This window comes from Homo sapiens, chromosome 9 (genome assembly GCF_000001405.40).
Source record: "Homo sapiens chromosome 9, GRCh38.p14 Primary Assembly".
Lineage (NCBI taxonomy): Eukaryota > Metazoa > Chordata > Mammalia > Primates > Hominidae > Homo > Homo sapiens.
The window spans coordinates 87,514,459-87,532,568 of record NC_000009.12 but is presented as its reverse complement, the minus strand read 5'-3'; the positions used below and the strand labels follow the sequence as shown (position 1 = coordinate 87,532,568).

At 44.9% G+C, this 18,110-nt stretch overlaps 1 protein-coding gene and 1 pseudogene across 8 annotated transcripts in view, besides 1 other annotated feature; both read right to left on the bottom strand.

The window, feature by feature from the left end:
* Positions 1-18,110, bottom strand: part of DAPK1 (death associated protein kinase 1) — a 211,407-nt gene that overhangs the window by 176,066 nt on the left and 17,231 nt on the right. The gene's annotated exons all lie outside the window — the stretch shown is intronic.
* Positions 1,272-2,254: an enhancer, noted in NCBI's record as "OCT4-NANOG-H3K27ac hESC enhancer chr9:90145230-90146212 (GRCh37/hg19 assembly coordinates)". NCBI's record gives its function as "activates a minimal SCP1, AML or CMV promoter by ChIP-STARR-seq in primed H9 embryonic stem cells {active_cell/tissue: H9 hESC(primed)}" and the evidence as "EXISTENCE:reporter gene assay evidence [ECO:0000049][PMID:30033119]".
* Positions 7,005-7,301, bottom strand: RPS29P18 (ribosomal protein S29 pseudogene 18; annotated as a pseudogene).

Here is an 18,110-nt window from a genome sequence, read left to right as displayed (position 1 = left end):
ACATGAAATGAATACATTTTAGATTTTAGAATTTTCTTAAAAAACATAGGATAAAGGCACAACATGCCTACCCTAATGATATAAACCAGGGGTCAGCAAACTTTCTGCAAAAGGTTAGAGGATAAATATTCTCAGGTTTGAGGGCCACATGGTCTCTGTCACCATGACTCAACTCTGCCATTGCTGTGCAAAAGCAACCAGAGACCAAACAAATGGGCATGGGTGTGTTCCAGTAAAACTTTATTTATGAATACTAAAATCTGAATCTCATATCATTTTCATGTGGCACAAAATACTGTTCTTTTTAAAAATCTTTTCCAATCATTTAAAAATGTAAAAACAATTCTTAGCAGAAGGACTCTATAAAAACACAGTGGGCCAGATTTGGCCTTGGAGTTACAGTTTACTGACCCTTGAAGTAAACCATAGGGCCTTGGCAATGTGTGGCACCAGTTAATCATGGCACTGTGTGATTGCCAACATGAGGAAATCAAAGAGTGGCATTAATCCCAATTTGGCCAGAAAGAAGAGATCGAGCCTAGCTTAGCACTAAGGCCTGTTCAGGAACGTGTTTGTTAGTAATGATGATGCCTCTTAAAAGGCAAAACCAAGAGTCAGGCCCATAAGCATTAAGCATTTCCTAGAACACATTAATATCAGCCCAGGGGGCACATGGAGGGAAAACTACTGCACAATAAGGAGGCCCCTGGGGATTTCTCTGAACTCATCCCCACCTCTCAGACTTGCCTCTCTTCCTGCATTCCAATATTCTCTAATATTCTGTGGACATTCCTTTATGTTCACAGGAAACAATAAGACACAATAATTGAACTTTCAGGCAACCAGCTTTTTAAGCTATGTACAATAGACAGCACCTGTATGAAATCCTGGGCATAATTCTGGTTGTGACAGTTCAATGCCCTACACTGGGGAGAGGACTGTTTTTTCTCAACATTACACTGAAGTGACAGCTCCTCTGCCTTTTTCTACTCATCCTCAGGTCAATATTGCAGCACAGGTTTGCACCAGTCTGAGACACGCCAGTCTTTGCTGTGCAGTGAATGCCCTCTTACCCCCAACTTCTCCCTTCACCACCTACAAAGGCTTCAGATGGACTCACTGTCCTAACTATTCTTCTTTCTATTTATTCTGGTTCCCCAAATTACAAAGTATACTCTATGAAGAAAACACAGGAAAGCCCCAAGGGAAAAATCACGTCCATTTTCAAATATTGTTTCTTCTTTGAACGACCAGGCCTGAGGCTGGTGGCACCAGTAATGAACTCCAGCCAGCTACTGGCAGTGAACATCGGGTATGGATAGACCAGCCCTCTAGTCAGAGGGGACTCACGCACAAGCTATGACCCACACTGCAGTGGAAACGAAAAGCTTGCTGAGCCCACTGCGTGCAACAATGCAATGATCAGAGCATTTTATCCTTAAATAATATTTTTGACCTAGATCTCTCCCCCTAACCCCTTCTCACTCCAGAGAAGGAATTAGATAGATACTTTAAAATATATCCATGCTTCCACTTGACTATCCAAAGGGTAAGCATTTCCTGAATTCACTGGTCTGTTTTTAAAAGGCCTGGCGCTAATGCTCGGCTCACAGCTGCTCCATCCCCCTGGGAAAGGAAGTTACTTAAAATCTTTGAAGAAGAGACCTGCATGAATATGGAGAGGTCACTGGTCTGGCCCCAGTGACTACCTTTGTTCCAGTGAGGATGACCTTCAAAGGGGCCCTTGGGGGTTTCTTTGGATGTTTGTTCCCACCTGCGACAAGAAGGCTCCCCTCTGTGCATCCCTCATGTGGCTCCAGCACATGAAACCCCAATGTCACAAAGGGAAATCGGCTCAGTCTGTCCCATAATGTCAGAATTCCCTAGATGGTGGGGTTTAAAAATTAAATAGCATGTCTCTCTTTTTAAAGAACTAACTTCATATTCTTCAAACAGAAAGAAATTATTCTGAAATTTCTGAAGAAGTACAGTGGATAAAAGAACTTTTCATCCATTATTAAATCTAAAAGGGAGTGCATGGGACTGCATATTAACTTCCTCTTCCAATTTCAAAACGGGTTAAGGAAAGTAGACATAAGATTTGACCCTTGGAGACACTGAGGTTGTTAATGTGCTTAATATAAATTCCCCTTACAAAACAGACTTGAAATTAACTTGCACATTTAAAATCAAGCTACCCTACAGAGGGCTAGATGTAGGAACTGGTAATACAGCCTGTGTTGGTTAGGCAGTGTCTTTGAGATTAATACTAAAAGTTACAAGATCTCTCAACTGCTTCCCCAGGACTTCTGACGACCAAATCAAAGTGGCAGGCTCAGGGTCAGCTTATTCCTCACATTCTGGAAAATAGTGGAATAATAACAATAGAACATAATGGGAACCATATAAGTTCTCACTGGGGAAAAGAGAGGGGCAAGATTAGGCTGTGCTTTTTCCATTCCAAATCCCAGAGGGGGAAAGCCTAAATAATAAAAACAGGACTGCGTTGAGGACTTAGGCACATTCTCTCATTTCGTCTGCACAGATATCTAAGGAAGTTCTCATTATCTTAATGAGGAAGCAGGGGTTCTGAGAAGCTTGGGCGGGCGGCATTAGGGAAGTTAGGGAGGCATCAGCTCCTCCTCTGCACCAAGCATTCTTATGAATCCCAAATTTAAAGGCCCAGAGGTGAGTAGGAGGAAATTTAGAGCAGATGACCACAGAACAACAGAACAGGTCTGACCTGTTCTAGGGGCAGGTGACAGGGACTCGCCTCCTGGCATTCTCCCAGCCTAGCCTGAGCCCCTTGGGTCTGGTGGCTTCTTTGCTCCAGGCAGCCTCAATGCAGTCAAGGGTCCTTGCAGATAAAGGCACGTCCACTGCATTCCACGTACTGTTAAAGCTCTGTCCCCTCCTGTGCAACCTGGGCCTTCCCTCCACCTTTGCAGCCAAGAAATAAACACAAACTGATAATCCAAAGACTGTGCCATATATCCCCCAGAGCATGTGGTATACACTCCATAACTTTTTACTGAGCATCTACTATGTGTCAGGCACTGTTGTAGATGCTCAGGATAAAACAGACACCAAATCTCCTCAAAGAGTCACAGAATAAATGATACCCTTAATTTTTAATTTAAAAGATAAATTAGTAAGATCACGTTAGAAATACCTTAGAAACTACTAGGTACTAGTGTTACTGGAAGCGAATCTGTATGGGTCTGCAGCAACCTCAATTCTTTTCTCCTCAAAAGAAAGAATTCGACCAAGGGGGCCTAAGGCAGAAGAGACTGAGGCAAGTTTTAGAGCAGGAGTGAAAGCTTATTGAAAAGCGCTAGAGCAGAAATGAAAGGAAGTAAAGTACACTTGGAAGAGGGCCCAGGAGGCGACTTGAGAGATCAAGTACGCGGTTTAACATTTTGACTTGGGGTTTTACATGTTGTCAGACTTCTGGGGTCTTGTGCCCCTTCTCCCCTGATTCTTCCCATGGGGTGGCTGTCTGCATGCTTAGTAGCCTGCCAGCACCTGGGAGGTGAGCACACACAGTGTGTTTACTGGAGTCATACACATGGCTCCCTTGAAGCATTCTTCCCTTACCAGTTGAATGTCCCTGGAAGGTCATATACCAGGGTATATAGTGCGGCAGAAAATGGGGTATGGTGTGAGGTTGGAGGTGATTTTTTTTTTTTTTTTTTTTGAGATGGAGTCTTGCTCTGTCACCCAGGCTGGAGTGCAGTGGCGCGATCTCGGTTCACTGCAACCTCCGCCTCCTGGGTTCAAGAAATTCTCCTGCCTCAGCCTCCCGAGTAGCTGGGAGTACAGGTGCACACCGCCACACCCGGCTAGTTTTTTTGTATTTTTAGTAGACATGGGGTTCCACCATGTTGCCCAGGCCTGAGCTCAGGAGTCGGAGGTGATTTTTATAGGAAGGTCAGTTTGGCTTCACTGAGAAAGTGACATCTGAACAAACGCTGCAGGAGATGAAAGTTAGCTTTGTGGCTCTCTGGAGCAAGAGCATTCCAGGAAGAGGGATTAGAAAAGGTGCATGGTAGGCCGGGCGTGGTGGCTCACGCCTGTAATCCCAGCACTTTGGGAGGCCGAGGCGGGTGGATCACCTGAGGTCAGGAGCTCGAGACCAGCCTGGCCAACGTGGCGAAACCCCATCTCTACTAAAAATACAACAATTAGCTGGGAGTGGTGATGCACACCTGTAATCCCAGCTACTCGGAAGGCTGAGGCAGGAGAATCGCTTGAACCCAGGAGGTGGAGGTTGCAGTGAGCTGAGACATCACCATTGCACTCCAGCCTGGGCAACAAGAGAGAAATTTTGTCTCAAAAAAAAAAAAAAAGAAAGAAAGAAAAGAAAACGCACTGTAACAATAAGCTTCCAAATGGATAAGACATCAAGGTGCTTACGCACGCTCAAGTTCTCTCAAGTCTGATTCACATCGGCAAGTGTTTAAAGTATGCTGCTCTCTCACAGTACATTAGTATCAGTGTCAGTGCAAGTGGCTTGGTGCACAGAATTCAAACTACCTATATATGTATTGGTGTATGAAACATTGTGGGATGCATGTGTGCAATCAAAAGGTTTCTGAAATTTAATTTTCCATTTCAAAGTCAGTAGAAAGGAGGATTAATGACTTCGGCATTTTGGTCAGCAAACAATTGTTCGCAGACAAGGTCTCAGCCATAAGATTGCTTCCCATCCTAGGATTTTTCTCCTGGCTTAATGTGTGTGCTTCGAAGAAGTATTTTAAATGTCACTTGCAAAAAGAGGAGGATGTGAAATAAACACCTGGGAATAGTCCCAATAATCCGGCCAGTAACAGTTCAGAAAGAAGCTCAGTGTTTGGAAACTGTCCAAAGAAAACATTAGGCTTGTGTTTTGACATATTTGTTAATGGAAGACAATTTTGCACACACACCTATTTAAGTGATGTTTAAAGGCTTTAGGGATCTTTTGCCAGCTCACCTTCCTGATAGACCTAGATGCAGAGAGCATCTAATTCCAGGAACGGACCTCACCTCAGCAGGAGCAAGCTCTATTTTGTGCTCTGCTGGAGCCAGCTTGGCCAGCCCTGGCATTCCCTGTACAGCGCATGGTCATCCGTGTAAGGCCGGTGAGTAACAATGGAAGCAGAAACGTTCCCGTGGCATGGAGTTGCTGTTTCTAGACTTGCAGACCCAACAGGCCGCAAAGACTACTGGGCCTGAGAGGAAGGATTCAGTGTCAGAGAGCCAAGAGGCCCATCTCCTCCAAGCCCCTCAACCTAGCGCAGAAGATCTGAAGGCAAGCGATTAGCCCAAGGACGTACAATGCTCAAGAGCACATAAGTCAAGGGCAAAAGCAAGTGTCTTCAATGCCACCCTTGGGTGGTTTTACAGTCACTGGGAGACCAACACCTAAAGAGACAGAATGAATCTCTACACCAGGCTTTGCTCTTACAGAATGTTTATGGAATTTTGTTTCCATCAGCTAAATAATCACAATTAACAATGTCATGGGTCCTTCACCTTCAGGTGTCCTCTTTCACAGTCAAAGGCCCTGGGCAACTGGTTCTTTCTTCCCCTTCCTTCTTGGCCCCCACTGCTAATGGGAAGAAATTCTGTCTTACAATCCTCCAACTGTTTTTGAAGTAGAAACAGCATATGGGGATGGTTATGTTTGGGTTCTGAGTTTTCAGAGAAGTCCTTATAACATGTCTAATTGGCATCAACATCAAAGAAGGTATGTTGTTCACCAGAGAGAGGAGAGAATAACCAAGGATGGCTGAATGGTTAGCTGTCAATCAGACTTGGGCACGGCGACACCACCACTACCATCTCATCACCATAAAGGACCACTCAGTACACAATTATACAGGATGACTTGGGGGACGCTGCCCAAAAACCTTTGCCCTCAAAAAAAATACCAAATATACCTGGTTAGAATCACAATGATTCTCTAGAAAGCTTCCCATAGACTAATGGAGGGAAATAGATACCAGGAAGGCATTGGAAAAATCCAAATGTCATTCAGTTGGTGAGTGAACAGACTGTAGCATATTCATACAACAGAAAACTCAGCAATAAAAAAGAGATGAACTATTAACGTAGACAGCAATGTGGATGAATTACAAATGTGTGATGCTAGCCAAACTTAAAAGGTATATATGCCATGATTCTATTTCTGTGTCTGTCTTGAAAAGGAGACACTGCAAGAACAGAAAACTGACAGTGGTTGCCAGATGAAGGGAGGTGGGGAGCATTAACTCTAATACACACATGGAAATTTAGGGGATTATGAACTATTATACGTCCTGATTGCAGTAGTAGTTCCATGACTATGCATTTGTTAAAACTCAGAATTGCATATTAAAAGGTGTGAATGTTACTGAACACAAACTATACCTTTTTTCCTTCTGTTTTTTTTTTTTTAATTGTAGAGACAGGGTCTTGCTACATTGCCCAGGCTGGGGCTGAATTCCTGGCTGTAAGCGATCCTCTTGCCTCAGTCTCCCAAAGTGCTAGGATTACAGGCATGAGACACCACTCCTAGCATATAAATTATACCTTTAAAAGGAGCCAAAAAATCTAGTAGAAATCAGTAAAAGAGCAAAACCCAACAAAAATTTTAAATATTTACTGTTTCTTGGTAAATTTAATATTTTAAAAACAAACTTAAAGGGATACTCGATCTGCAGGCCTATAGCTCAACTGACTATTAAGCCTGGTCATGAGCTTCAGAGCAACTGAGCCCTCACCCCAGGCAGAAGGCAAGAGGGAGGGGAAATTAAGCTCCTCAGACATTCAGCACCTGCCCCATGCTGGGTGCGAGGAGCTGGGAGCGGCCACAGTGCCAGGTCTGAGAGAGCTCACAGTGGGAAGAGAGAGGAAAACATGGAGGAGGTGGAACCGAGGCCCTCAGCCCTAACAGGGCTGCTCTGACCAAAGAACCGCCTCAGGTTCTTTTTGGAAACTGACATTTTGGCCTTCGTTTATTCAACGCATTTTTTGTTGTTGTTTTTTCAAATGTTTATTTTATGTACAAAGAACTATCATGGTTTTTCATTGAGTATATGCCTTGGATAATCCTTTGAAGGAAGATCATTTAGTCCAACTTAATGAAACCGATATCCTTCGCGTACTGACGGAAACACTGGCGGCACATATTGAGGCCATATTTCCGGATCAGACCGTGCCGGTTGTTTGAACACACGCAACAAGAGCGAGAACCCTGGCCGAATTTTCGCGGGTGGCTCCAGTACAGCTGCTGGTGACCCATCTTGCTCTCAGGAGTGCAACGAGGTAAAAGCAAGAAGCTCTATTCAACGCATTTTTTAGGTAAGCACTGCATTGGGTAGGGTGAAAAACAGACGCAGAAAGTTCTGGTACTCATCCAAACACACAGGAAGACACAGTCTTCCACCCAACTGTTTGCACAGGGTCATCCACAGGCTCCTGAGGGGTACAAGGGACCCCAGGGAGACCTCAGGGTGCACTGTTCACACTGTTCGGTTTTTGTTTCTGTTTTTAATCTTTTTATCTCCATAGGTTATTGGGGAACAGGTGGTGTTCAGTTACATGAGCAAGTTCTTTAGTGGGGATCTGTGAAATTTTGGTGCATCCATCACCCGAGCAGTAAACAATGCACCCCATTTGTAGTCTTTTATTTCTCACCCCCTTCCCACCCTTTCCCTCTAAGTCCCCAAAGTCTATTGTGTCATTCTTATGCCTTTGCATCCTCATAGCTTAGCTCCCTCTTATGAGTGAGAACATACAATATTTAGTTTTCCATTCTTGAGTTACTTCACTTAGAATCATTGTCTCCAATCTCATCGGTTTACTGCAATTGCCATTAATTCATTCCTTTTTAGGGCCGAGTAGTATTCTATCATGTATATATACCATAGTTTCTTTATCCACTTTTTGATTGATGGGCATTTGGATTGGTTCCACATTTTTGCAATTGCGAATTGTGCTGCTGTAAACATGCGCATTCACACTGTTTGGGGTGTGAAAGGACCTGGCTGGTGTCTCCTGGGATTCTGCGAGGAGGTGGTTCTGGCAAGAAACCCACCCCGGCTCTACTGTTAGGCTCTGAGAAAGAGGAAGTTCAAGGGCTCAAGCGTGTGCTTCCCAACTTTCCACGTCAGCTTAGGGAACACACAGAACTGATCTCTATGTCCGCTGCAGCCTGAGGGAACCACCTGAGGGCCCTGAGGGTGAGGGGGTCCCAGACCCAGCATGGCTGGCATACAAGAGGTGCTCCCTGACTCTCAGGTCCAGCTGTGGGAGGAGAGATGCAGTGGGCCCAGAGACCTGAGGAACAGTTCCAAGGTCAGGGCATGCTGGAATGTGCAGGGCCTTTGGGCCAAGAGAAACAGGCACCCCTTCCCCCAGGGAGAGGCCCAGAGCATCAGTGGACTCCAGCCCCTCCTCTGTAAGAACCTCTATCGGGGCACAAATGGCTCATCCACCAGGAACGCCTTATCCAAGACACTAACTTGCCTCTCATGGGCTGTACCTGTTTCATCCACCTCGCTGAGTAGAGATACTGCAGACCATCTTTCAACATGTTTAGACAGTGCACTCACTAGCATGCCTGTGATTCTGAATATAGCAAACATAAACACCGTAAGGCTTGTATTTTCCTAGAGTGGGATTTCATCAGTCTAGCTCAAGCTTCATTTCTGAAGCTCTTCACTCCCCAGCTCACAAGAGCTCCTGGAAACAGCAGCTTTGCTGATTCCCTACAGCTACCAACAGTGCAGGAAATCTCCCTGGTTGAATCCAGCCAGCCCTCAAACCATGTTTTGATGAGCAAATGGTAACTGAGGGGCTCTGGAAAAACTACGCCTGGAGCCATACTTCACACTTCACACGAAAATAAATTCCAGGCAAATCACAGACTTAAACATACATAATAAGCCATCAAAGTACTAGAAGAAATTATGAGAGAATATTTTAAAAATGAATTTAAAGTGGGCTGGGCACGGTGGCTCACATCTGTAATCCCAACACTTTGGGAGGTCAAGGTAGGCAGATCGCTGGAGCCCAAGAGTTTGAGACCAGCCTCAGCAACATGGCAAAACCTCTTCTCTACAATAAATTTTTAAAAAATCAGTTGGGTGTTGTGGCTCGTGTCTATGGTCCCAGCTACTCAGGAGGCTGAGGTGGAAAGATCTTTTAAGCCCAGGAGGTCGAGGCTGCAGTGAGCCATGATTGTGCCACTGCACTCCAGCCTGGGCAACAGAATGAGACCCTGTCTCAAAACAAATAAACTCAGAGCGGTAAGGGCCTTTCTAACTGTGATACAAAACCCATAAAAGATTAAACGAATTTGATAAATCCGACTATTTTAAAAAATACAGCTGTCTGGGACGGTGAAAGACTTCTGGAGATGGATAGTGGTGATGGCTGCACAACCAATGTGAATGGACTTAACGCCACTGAATGTGCACTTAAAAATAGTTAAAATGACAAGTTTCACATTTTATCACAACACAAAAAAAAATCATGGGGAGAAAAGTACCAGAAACAATGCCAAAAGACAAATGACAACCTAGAGAAAAGATGTGCAAATCATAACATGAACATAAAGCTATTTAATAGATAAAGAGCTCCTACAAATTAATAAAAGTCTACAAACGTAGAGAAAAATGGGCAAAGAGTATGAATAGAAAGTTCAAAGCAGAGACAAATAGTTCTTAAACATACTTGAAAACATGCTTACACTTATTCATACTTAAAAATTGATGAAACTACACTTATCAAAGTAGCAAGAATCAAGCAGCTGTGAGACAGCGAAAGAAGCCAGCCAGCTTTCTCTTGTAGTTGGGCTGAAAACTGACTTACGGTCTATGAAGAGTAACTTGGTAACACATACAAGAATGACAGATGCATGTTCTCTTTCATCCAGCAATTCCACTTCTAGGAATTTACCTACAGATAGCTTCAACATTTTGTACATCAGCAATCATTGCAGAATTGCTTATAATAGAAAAATTAGAAAAGAATCCTAGAAGTTCACAGACAGAAAGGGTTAAATAAATGACAGTAAATCATAGAGAAGAAAAAGGCATGTCTTCCTATGTAGTAATGGAATGATTTTCAAGTTATGCTATGAGGTGAAAAAACAAAAAAGCCAAAGGCAGAACAATGTGTATAACATGCTACGATTTCAGTAAAAACATGAAAAAATTTATGTTTATTGTCTTAAATACACATAGAATATATATGGAATGATCTCAAGACTCACTAGAAGGAACTAGTCACTGGAGGGCAAGATACTGTCTTTGACTTTCGAACTGTGTGAATGTATTACATATTTCATTTTAAAAGATGTAAAGGGACCTGTCTGAGAAAAAAAATATAACTCTTGTTCTCCATAACTGGCCATTCTAGTTAAGTATTGTTGGTGACTACTGTCTTAGTCCATTTTCTGTTGCAGAATGGGCAATTTATAAATAAAAGCAATTTATTCAGCTCGTGGTCCTGGAGGCTGGGAAGTCTAAGAGCATGGCGCTGGCACCTGGTGAGCATCTTCTTGCTGCATCAAAACGTGGCAGAGGGCATCGCATGGCAAGAGGGCAAGAAAATGCTCACTAAATATGCTTGGGCCTCTCTTCCTCTTATAAAGCCACCAGTGGCACTCCCACGATAACGCATTAATCCATTAGCCCTTTCATCCACTAACCCACGTATGAATTAATCCATTCATGAAGGCTCTGCCTTCCCAATCACCTCTTAAAAGCCTCACCTCTCAACACTGCCATACTGGAGATTAAGTTTGAACATGAGTTTTGAGGGGATAAATATTCAAACCAAAGCAACTACCATAAGTCATCAAACTGCTAGATAAGAAGGTCTTCTCTTTCCTAAATGATGGGGAATAAAATTGCCAAAAGATTGGATAAAGCTGGAAAAAAAGTACACTAAATGAGATGTCATCCTTCTCCTCTTCTTTGTACCACAGTGCCCCAGTGCTGACATCCTAGCGGAAGGCAGGACATGGCAGCTGAGTTCTGACAGTGGAGACGGTCTCTGGTGCCCCTCCTTTCCTGTGATTCTTCAATGCCCACCCTGGACCTTGTCCTCATGGGATAAGAACTGGAGTCCCATGGACTGGCTCCTGGTCCCAGCTTTGAAACCTCATTCATCCATCTCACCAATATTCACTGAATCTCTAATCATACATTCAGCACCTCCCTGGGTCTGGGGCTAAAGACTGAATAAGACAGACAAGCACCTGCCTTTCCAGACCTTGACAATGGAGCTAGTGATGTGCTCCAGCCTGCCTGTGCTGGCTCACAAGAGACAACTGTTCATTTTTCAGGAATTTCATGACCTGGTTGCTAAACACAGACACCCTTAGGTGATACAGAATCCAACAATGCTTCAACCCCTGCAACAACACCAAAAGCTTAAAACATAGCTAGCACTATTGCAATCAGCAGTGCTGAAGCCAAAATGAAGCTCAGCTTAAGGAACATAATTTGTACAAGGTGAGAAATAGTCTAACAGTAGATCACATATTAGATTTAATGGTAATAAATTTACTAGGTAAAAAACTAGTGAATTGGAATGCAACTCTGTCAAACCATTGTCAGTCATAGGTTGGCCACAGTAAAAATCAATAAAAGCATTCTGTGAGCCTACATTGGCTGAATGGAATTTATAATAAAGAGTGCACATAGTTTGTTATTAGTTGTAAATTGTATTATATACCCTTTGTATCAGTACATGTATAGATATATGTGCATGTATATTTATACTGAGTATGTATATATACCTATGTATGTACGCACACAGGTATGTATGTATACACACACAAACATTTCAATTCACCAGTGCATTGAACTCTGCTGCCTCAAGCTTAACTTCTTTAAGCTCTGGTTTCCCAGTTTTTAAAAGAAGTATAGAAAACCACTTCCCACCTATCTTCGAGGGTCAAAAAGAAACCATATAGGCTATAAAATTGTTACCGATATCCTAATTCATCCCCCCAAAGTGGCGGATTTTTAAACACCTGCTTCAAACAACTTTCCCCTTGTCTTCCGGCTTTCAAGCACCTGTCTTCCTGTCTTCAACCTCTTTATTATCACAGGAAGAAGTGCAACCCAGAGAACAAGAGTTCCACAGAGCTGAAAACTGCTGTCTCCAGCTGTGCCTGTCCCTGTCTGAACAGGGAGGACTTGGCTCTCCAAGGTCCTTTCACAGCCTCACACCCCAGCAGTTCCTCCACTTCCTCCCAGAGTGCGAGGAGGCTAATTCACACCTTGTTGTGATGCTGGCAAGGCTCCTGAACCCTCAGCACCAGAAGCCTATTTTTCCATCAATCCGTTTACACAATTCTGGAACCCTCTGCTTCTTCTCCCTAGGTGCAACTCCAAGCTCTTCCTATAGAACTAATTTTAAGCCATAATTAAATCCTAACCTATTAGAACACATGATACACCTTTCTACAAGCATGAGAAGCAATTAAAACTTACCTGGGAAGAAGTCAATTCTATATTAAGACTTCCTTCTTCCTTTTGGAAGCTCCAATTTCCTTTTTTCTGTTTGTTTCCTTATCTTTATTAACAACAACAAAAAAAAGTCACAGCATTTCAGACTACTCAAACACACAAACACTAACAAAGGCACCCACAGTGACAGCCTCGTCCCTAGTGTCTGGATCAAAGGCCAAGCTGGAGAGCAGGTATGTCCTCTCGGCCCTATTCTCTCAGCATCCCATGGCTTCCCTCCCACCCCTACTTCACTGACACCCCTGAGAGCAGTTACAACTGTGCAGAAACAATGCCACTTTCGAGAAGGTTGGGCCCCACCTCATTGTCATGGAAAAAGACCAGATCCTGAGGAAAAGTCAGAAGCAGTGCTACCTCATTGCTTGGAGGATGCTGGGTGCTCCTGGGCCTGGCTGCCATCCCTGTGTCCCAGACATAGGGCAGAGAAAAAGGCAGAAGGACACTCCCCAATTGGCAGTACTGGGCAGCAGACAGAGCGGGCCACTGGTCACGTGACAGCCCCAATCCACCAGGCAGATGTCTCTGACATGATCAGCCAGACACTCCCAGGGAGTATGGCTTTGGTTCATAAAAGGTTTGGGTAAACTACTCTCCCAGAAATCATAGGAAATCAACCAATCATCCTCAGATTCCTGGAGCACCGGGGCAATACAATTGCCATTGGGTTGCAGCGAAGGGGGACACTGGTAAACACCAACCCTCCAAGAGGGCGGAAATACCACTCCTGTCTATTCCAGAGTACTTGGCATGGGCCAACAGCAGTCTTTTTATAGGGGCAACTGTGGAAACCTGAGAAGAGGAATGAAGGTAATGGTGCATGCGGGAGGTGCCTGCCATTGCTGCCTGCTCTCCAGGGCCCCTTGCTGAACCCAGTGATAAAGCTGGGGTTGGGACCAGGGGCATCGGCCGGGCCCAGAGCCCCAGCCCCAGGAAAGCAGACAGGGACAAAGGCCTAAACAAGCAGGACTGGGCACAGGGCCCCAAGCTAAGCTGCTCTTCCTCCTATCAGTCCGATGTTACTTACTCGACTTGGCCAAGGAGCACCTCTTGCGAAATCCTCTGTTCTAATCTGCTCAGAGCAGTGCTTCCTGCGATCTCTACTTTTTCTTGACTACACGTAAATCTTTTTTTTTTTTTTCCTGGAAAGATATTACTGGATGGATGCCTGTGACTCTTTTGAAGGGGTGGCTGATTTTACTGAGGGTGGAAGTTCATCTAACATTTTACAGCTGCCAAATACTGGGCGCGGGCCAGACTCTTCAGGCACCAACATGGATACCCACATAGCTGTGTAGACACTGATATGTCAGCAGAAACCTTTGTACATACGGTTCTACGCTACTCCACAGATACAGAGAAATAAGGAAAAAGTGACACTGCTAGAGAAAAGTTAAGCCATCTGGGCATGGTCAGATAACAGGCTAAAAAGACATTTGGCATAGTCTACAGTCATTTCCAGAAATTACCATCCTAGACCCACCTAGTAAACAGTTGTGAGGCTCCAATTTTCAAGCATCATTAAAAAAAGAGCAAGATTTGACAGGATTGACTGGCCGACATCAATGAGATTGACGATGGCAAAGGGTTAACATCAGTTTCCTTAGGTTTTCCCTTTTAAAGGGCAAATATGGCTGGGTGCAGTGGCTCACGCCTATAATCCCAGCACTTTGGGAGGCTGAGGTGGGTGGATCACCAGAGGTCAGGAGTTCAAGACTACCCTGGCCAACATGGCGAAACTCCATCTCTACTAAAAATACAAAAAAAAAAAAAAAAAAAAATTAGCTGGGTGTGGTGGGGCACGCCTGTAATCCCAGCTACATGGGAGACTGAGGCAGGAAAATCGCTTGAACCCGGGAGGTGGAGGTTGCAGTGAGCCAAGATTGTGCCACTGCACTTCAGCCTGGGTGATAGAGCCAGACTCCATCTCAGAAAAAAAAAAAAAAAAAAAAAACAACAACATAAACGGCAAATATTCCAGGGCAAACAACTGTGCTGTAAAAACGCAGGTTCAGCGACAGATGCGTGCTGCTTTCTTTCAGAAACCCACTACCCGTGCTATGGGGCAGATTGGGACCCAGGCACCCATGATCACTGGTGCCCATTTCCTCTTGTGTAGTAGAAATGCGGTCAACCACATTTTATTCCCACTAGACTCACCTTCCCATTCTGCTTTCAAATCTAAAAATATGACACTGGGACAAGCTAACATGGTAATAAGTACCAATAGATTTGGGGAAAATCATCAATGGGATGGAAAGGAAACAGCCATTTTATCTGAAGCTTACTCTACCCCAGCTAGCAGAGAGTGATCTGGGACCCACTTTGCACTTTTATGGGGCTGTCACCTCACAGGGTTATGCCAAGGATGAAAACGTGCACAACACACTATGCATCTTAAGGAACTTTTCGGCAATTCCTCAGTTTACCTTTAAAACTCACAGGAACCATGGCTACAATCCTTCAGTTCAGGATTTTGTAATTCTGACCAGTTAATGAAATGATCATCAGACAATAGGTGTTTCTGAAGGGTCTTGCAAGATGTGGGGAACAAAAGAATGATTACACTTTACGGGCTCACAATCTAGGAAAGATGGGCACACAGAGAGAGAGGTGGGGGAGAGAACAGTGGGGAGTCTCAGTGCTGGATGAATGTGTCAATGAGGAATTACCCCAGGAGTTTGCAAAAGGAGGACACTGCTTGAGTCTCAGGAATGCCTTCAGAGGGAAAATGGATTATAAACCCAGTCCACCGAGAAGAAGAGAGGCCCAGCAGATGGGTTCTGCAGATACTGACCACCTGCACCCCCGGAGGAAAGCAGTAATGTAGCAAGCCTGCTATCGGTGCCCACTAAGTGGATGCCCCTTCCTGGTTATTCTCCATCTGTCCCATCTGTCTGTCCTCCCCTGCCCCCAATCGCATTCTTCACTCTCCTACACACTGCACCACCCTGGGTGGCTCCCTGCAGGTGGTTCCTGTTAGGTTTGGCTAATGAGAGGCACTGGTGGGACTATGGGGGCAGGAAGAGAGAGGTTGTGATGTTTCTTCCCTGAAGTGGCATGTACTGGTGACCCCCCTCTATGACTCCAGTGCAGCCCTAGGCATGGTACAGGCTCCCCTTCTGCTGCCAGATAGTACGTACCTGACCATCCCATAACCTACATCCGGACCATCAGAAGGGCCCAGTTCCCTGCCAGCACCCTGACTGCCACACCTTCCTTTTGCACAATATCCTCCAAATCCACCCCTTCAAGCTTCTCCAATCCACCGAACCTAGCACATGGGAAAATGCCCCAATCGCAGGGTGCCTACATACTGTAGGAAGCATTCTTCACACCTCCTGCCAGGGGGCTGAAGAGCTAATTAAGCCATGTGGGCTGCCCCTGGCCACACACGCAGCATGCTAAACCATCCAGCCTGCTGGAAAGGCAGAAACCAGAGGCCTAAGAGAATAAGAAACAAGGAGTTACCTGACATTGAAGAAAAATTAGAAATCAGCCTGAAAAAAAAAATCACAGCTATTAGGCAGTTTAGAAACAATCACCAAGACAGCAAGCAGGATATCACCCTTGGGACAGAGCAGGGGGAAGCAAGGTCAGATAGCAATGGGAAGTTGCGGGGCCATGACTCATGACTCATGAGGCCTGCTCAGTAGGAAAGGCAAGGCAGAAACTCCGTGTTTGCCACGGCTGGACTTAACCCCAGGGAGAACGGGCCCGCTGGGAGAACCCGATATGGCCTAGACCACAGCTATGACCTGGCTGGCTCTTGAGCCCCAACAGTATGGATGCTGCAACGCTGGCAGTGTGCAAGAGGATCTGGAATCCAGTAGAGACACAAGGGAAAAATTGGAGTAATGCTGGAGACAGAATCCCAGCTTCCACACCAAGGAGAAGGGCAGAAGCTGGGGGGCGGCAAGTACAGCCAGAGAGTGAACTCCAAGTTGGCATAAAACAGCAAGAGGCCACATTCATCTGCATCCCTTCAGAGGCAGGGATGCGCTGACTGGGATACAAGCCCATAACTGTACAACTCTCTGCTTTGTGTTCTCCCTGGGGATTCAGCTGAGTGTGCGGTGAGAGCTGGGAGCTAGGGAAAGGGGGGCAAGGGCACCCGCTGACCACTGCAGGGAAATGGGGGGAGGCTGGTAAGACCGACCTGCAGGAAAGGGTCATTAGGAGTGGGCAGGAGAGGTCAGCAGGATGGACTCTGAGAATGGGAAGAAAACGGCAGCTACTTGCCCCGCAGCTCCTGCTCAAGAGCACCCTGGTGGAAGCTGTTACCCACGTGGTCCCCTTTGTTGATGACCACAGATCCACAGAGTTGGAAGGGATCCTCAGAGGCTATCAGCTCAATTTCCTCCCCAAATCGGCAATCTTTTCCTCAATATCCCCACCAGGTGGGTATTTAGTGCAAACACTGCAGTGTCCACCACTTGTGACCTCACTTGCAGTCTGCTCTGCTATTGGACAGCTGAGTTCTTCCTACTAAGCCAACCTCTGCCTCCTCATGGCTCCCACCACTGACCCCCAGTGCCCCCAAAACAAGCCTATCCCCATCCAAAAGACCATCTATGTGTGTTTTCATGGGCTTCAGAGCCAGAGAGGCTCAGAGCTCAATTTCAGTTCTGCCACTTACTCATTTCAGCATATTAAATTATTTAATCTCTTTAAGCCTTTGTTTATTCATCAATAAAACAGAGCAGGGCTTAGCAAATCATGGCCCACAGGGTAAATCCAGACCATTGCCTGTTTTTATTAGAACACAGCCACACCCTTTTGGACACATAATGTCTGTGGCTGCTTTTGAGTTAAAACAGAGTTGAGTTGTTGCAACAGAAACCATGTGGCCCACGAAGCTTACCATATTTACTATCTTTACATAAAATGTCTGCCAAGCTCTGAAATAGAGGATCCCCATAAGAGGCTAGTTTGAGGAATTACATGCAGTAATATTTACAAAAAGATGCACATGGTGCTTGACTCCATAGCTAAGTAAAATACATTATTCATGAGATACTCGGGTTCTCCAGCTTTTGCCTTCTTTGGACTCCCCCAAGTTTGTCAGTGTCTCTCCCAGAACAGAACACTCTCATGTCCCAGATGCAGAATGACCTCAGCAAAAACAGAGAAAACAGAGAAACCAGCAACTCCCATTGCAGACATTCAATTTCTATGGTATAGACAAAAGCTGTATTTTCTTCTTAATGCAGTCACGAGGATATGGGTTCCATAGACATTTGTAATTATCAAAGCTCTCAGACTCTTCTCCAAAAGGACACTGTCATGACAAGTCTCCCTGCTGCTGAATTTGAGCAATTGCTTTTTCTCTCCAACTTAATTGTCTGGCTTCATCTTTGTATCTGTTACATTTAATCGTGTCGGGCTTTGTTCAATCCAACAATTAATGCGAACCCTCCTTCCATCATTCATTCATGTCACTCACTTAAATGTTCAATTTGGGGCTGGTTCTTGTGCTCAATTCAATAACCAGAAAACAAGTCACAGACCTAGATCATGGGAGCTTCCAGTCTTAAGGAAGAGAATGACATTTGAAAGTAATTATACAAATAGGTATGGAATTGCAGTGGCTATTTGAAT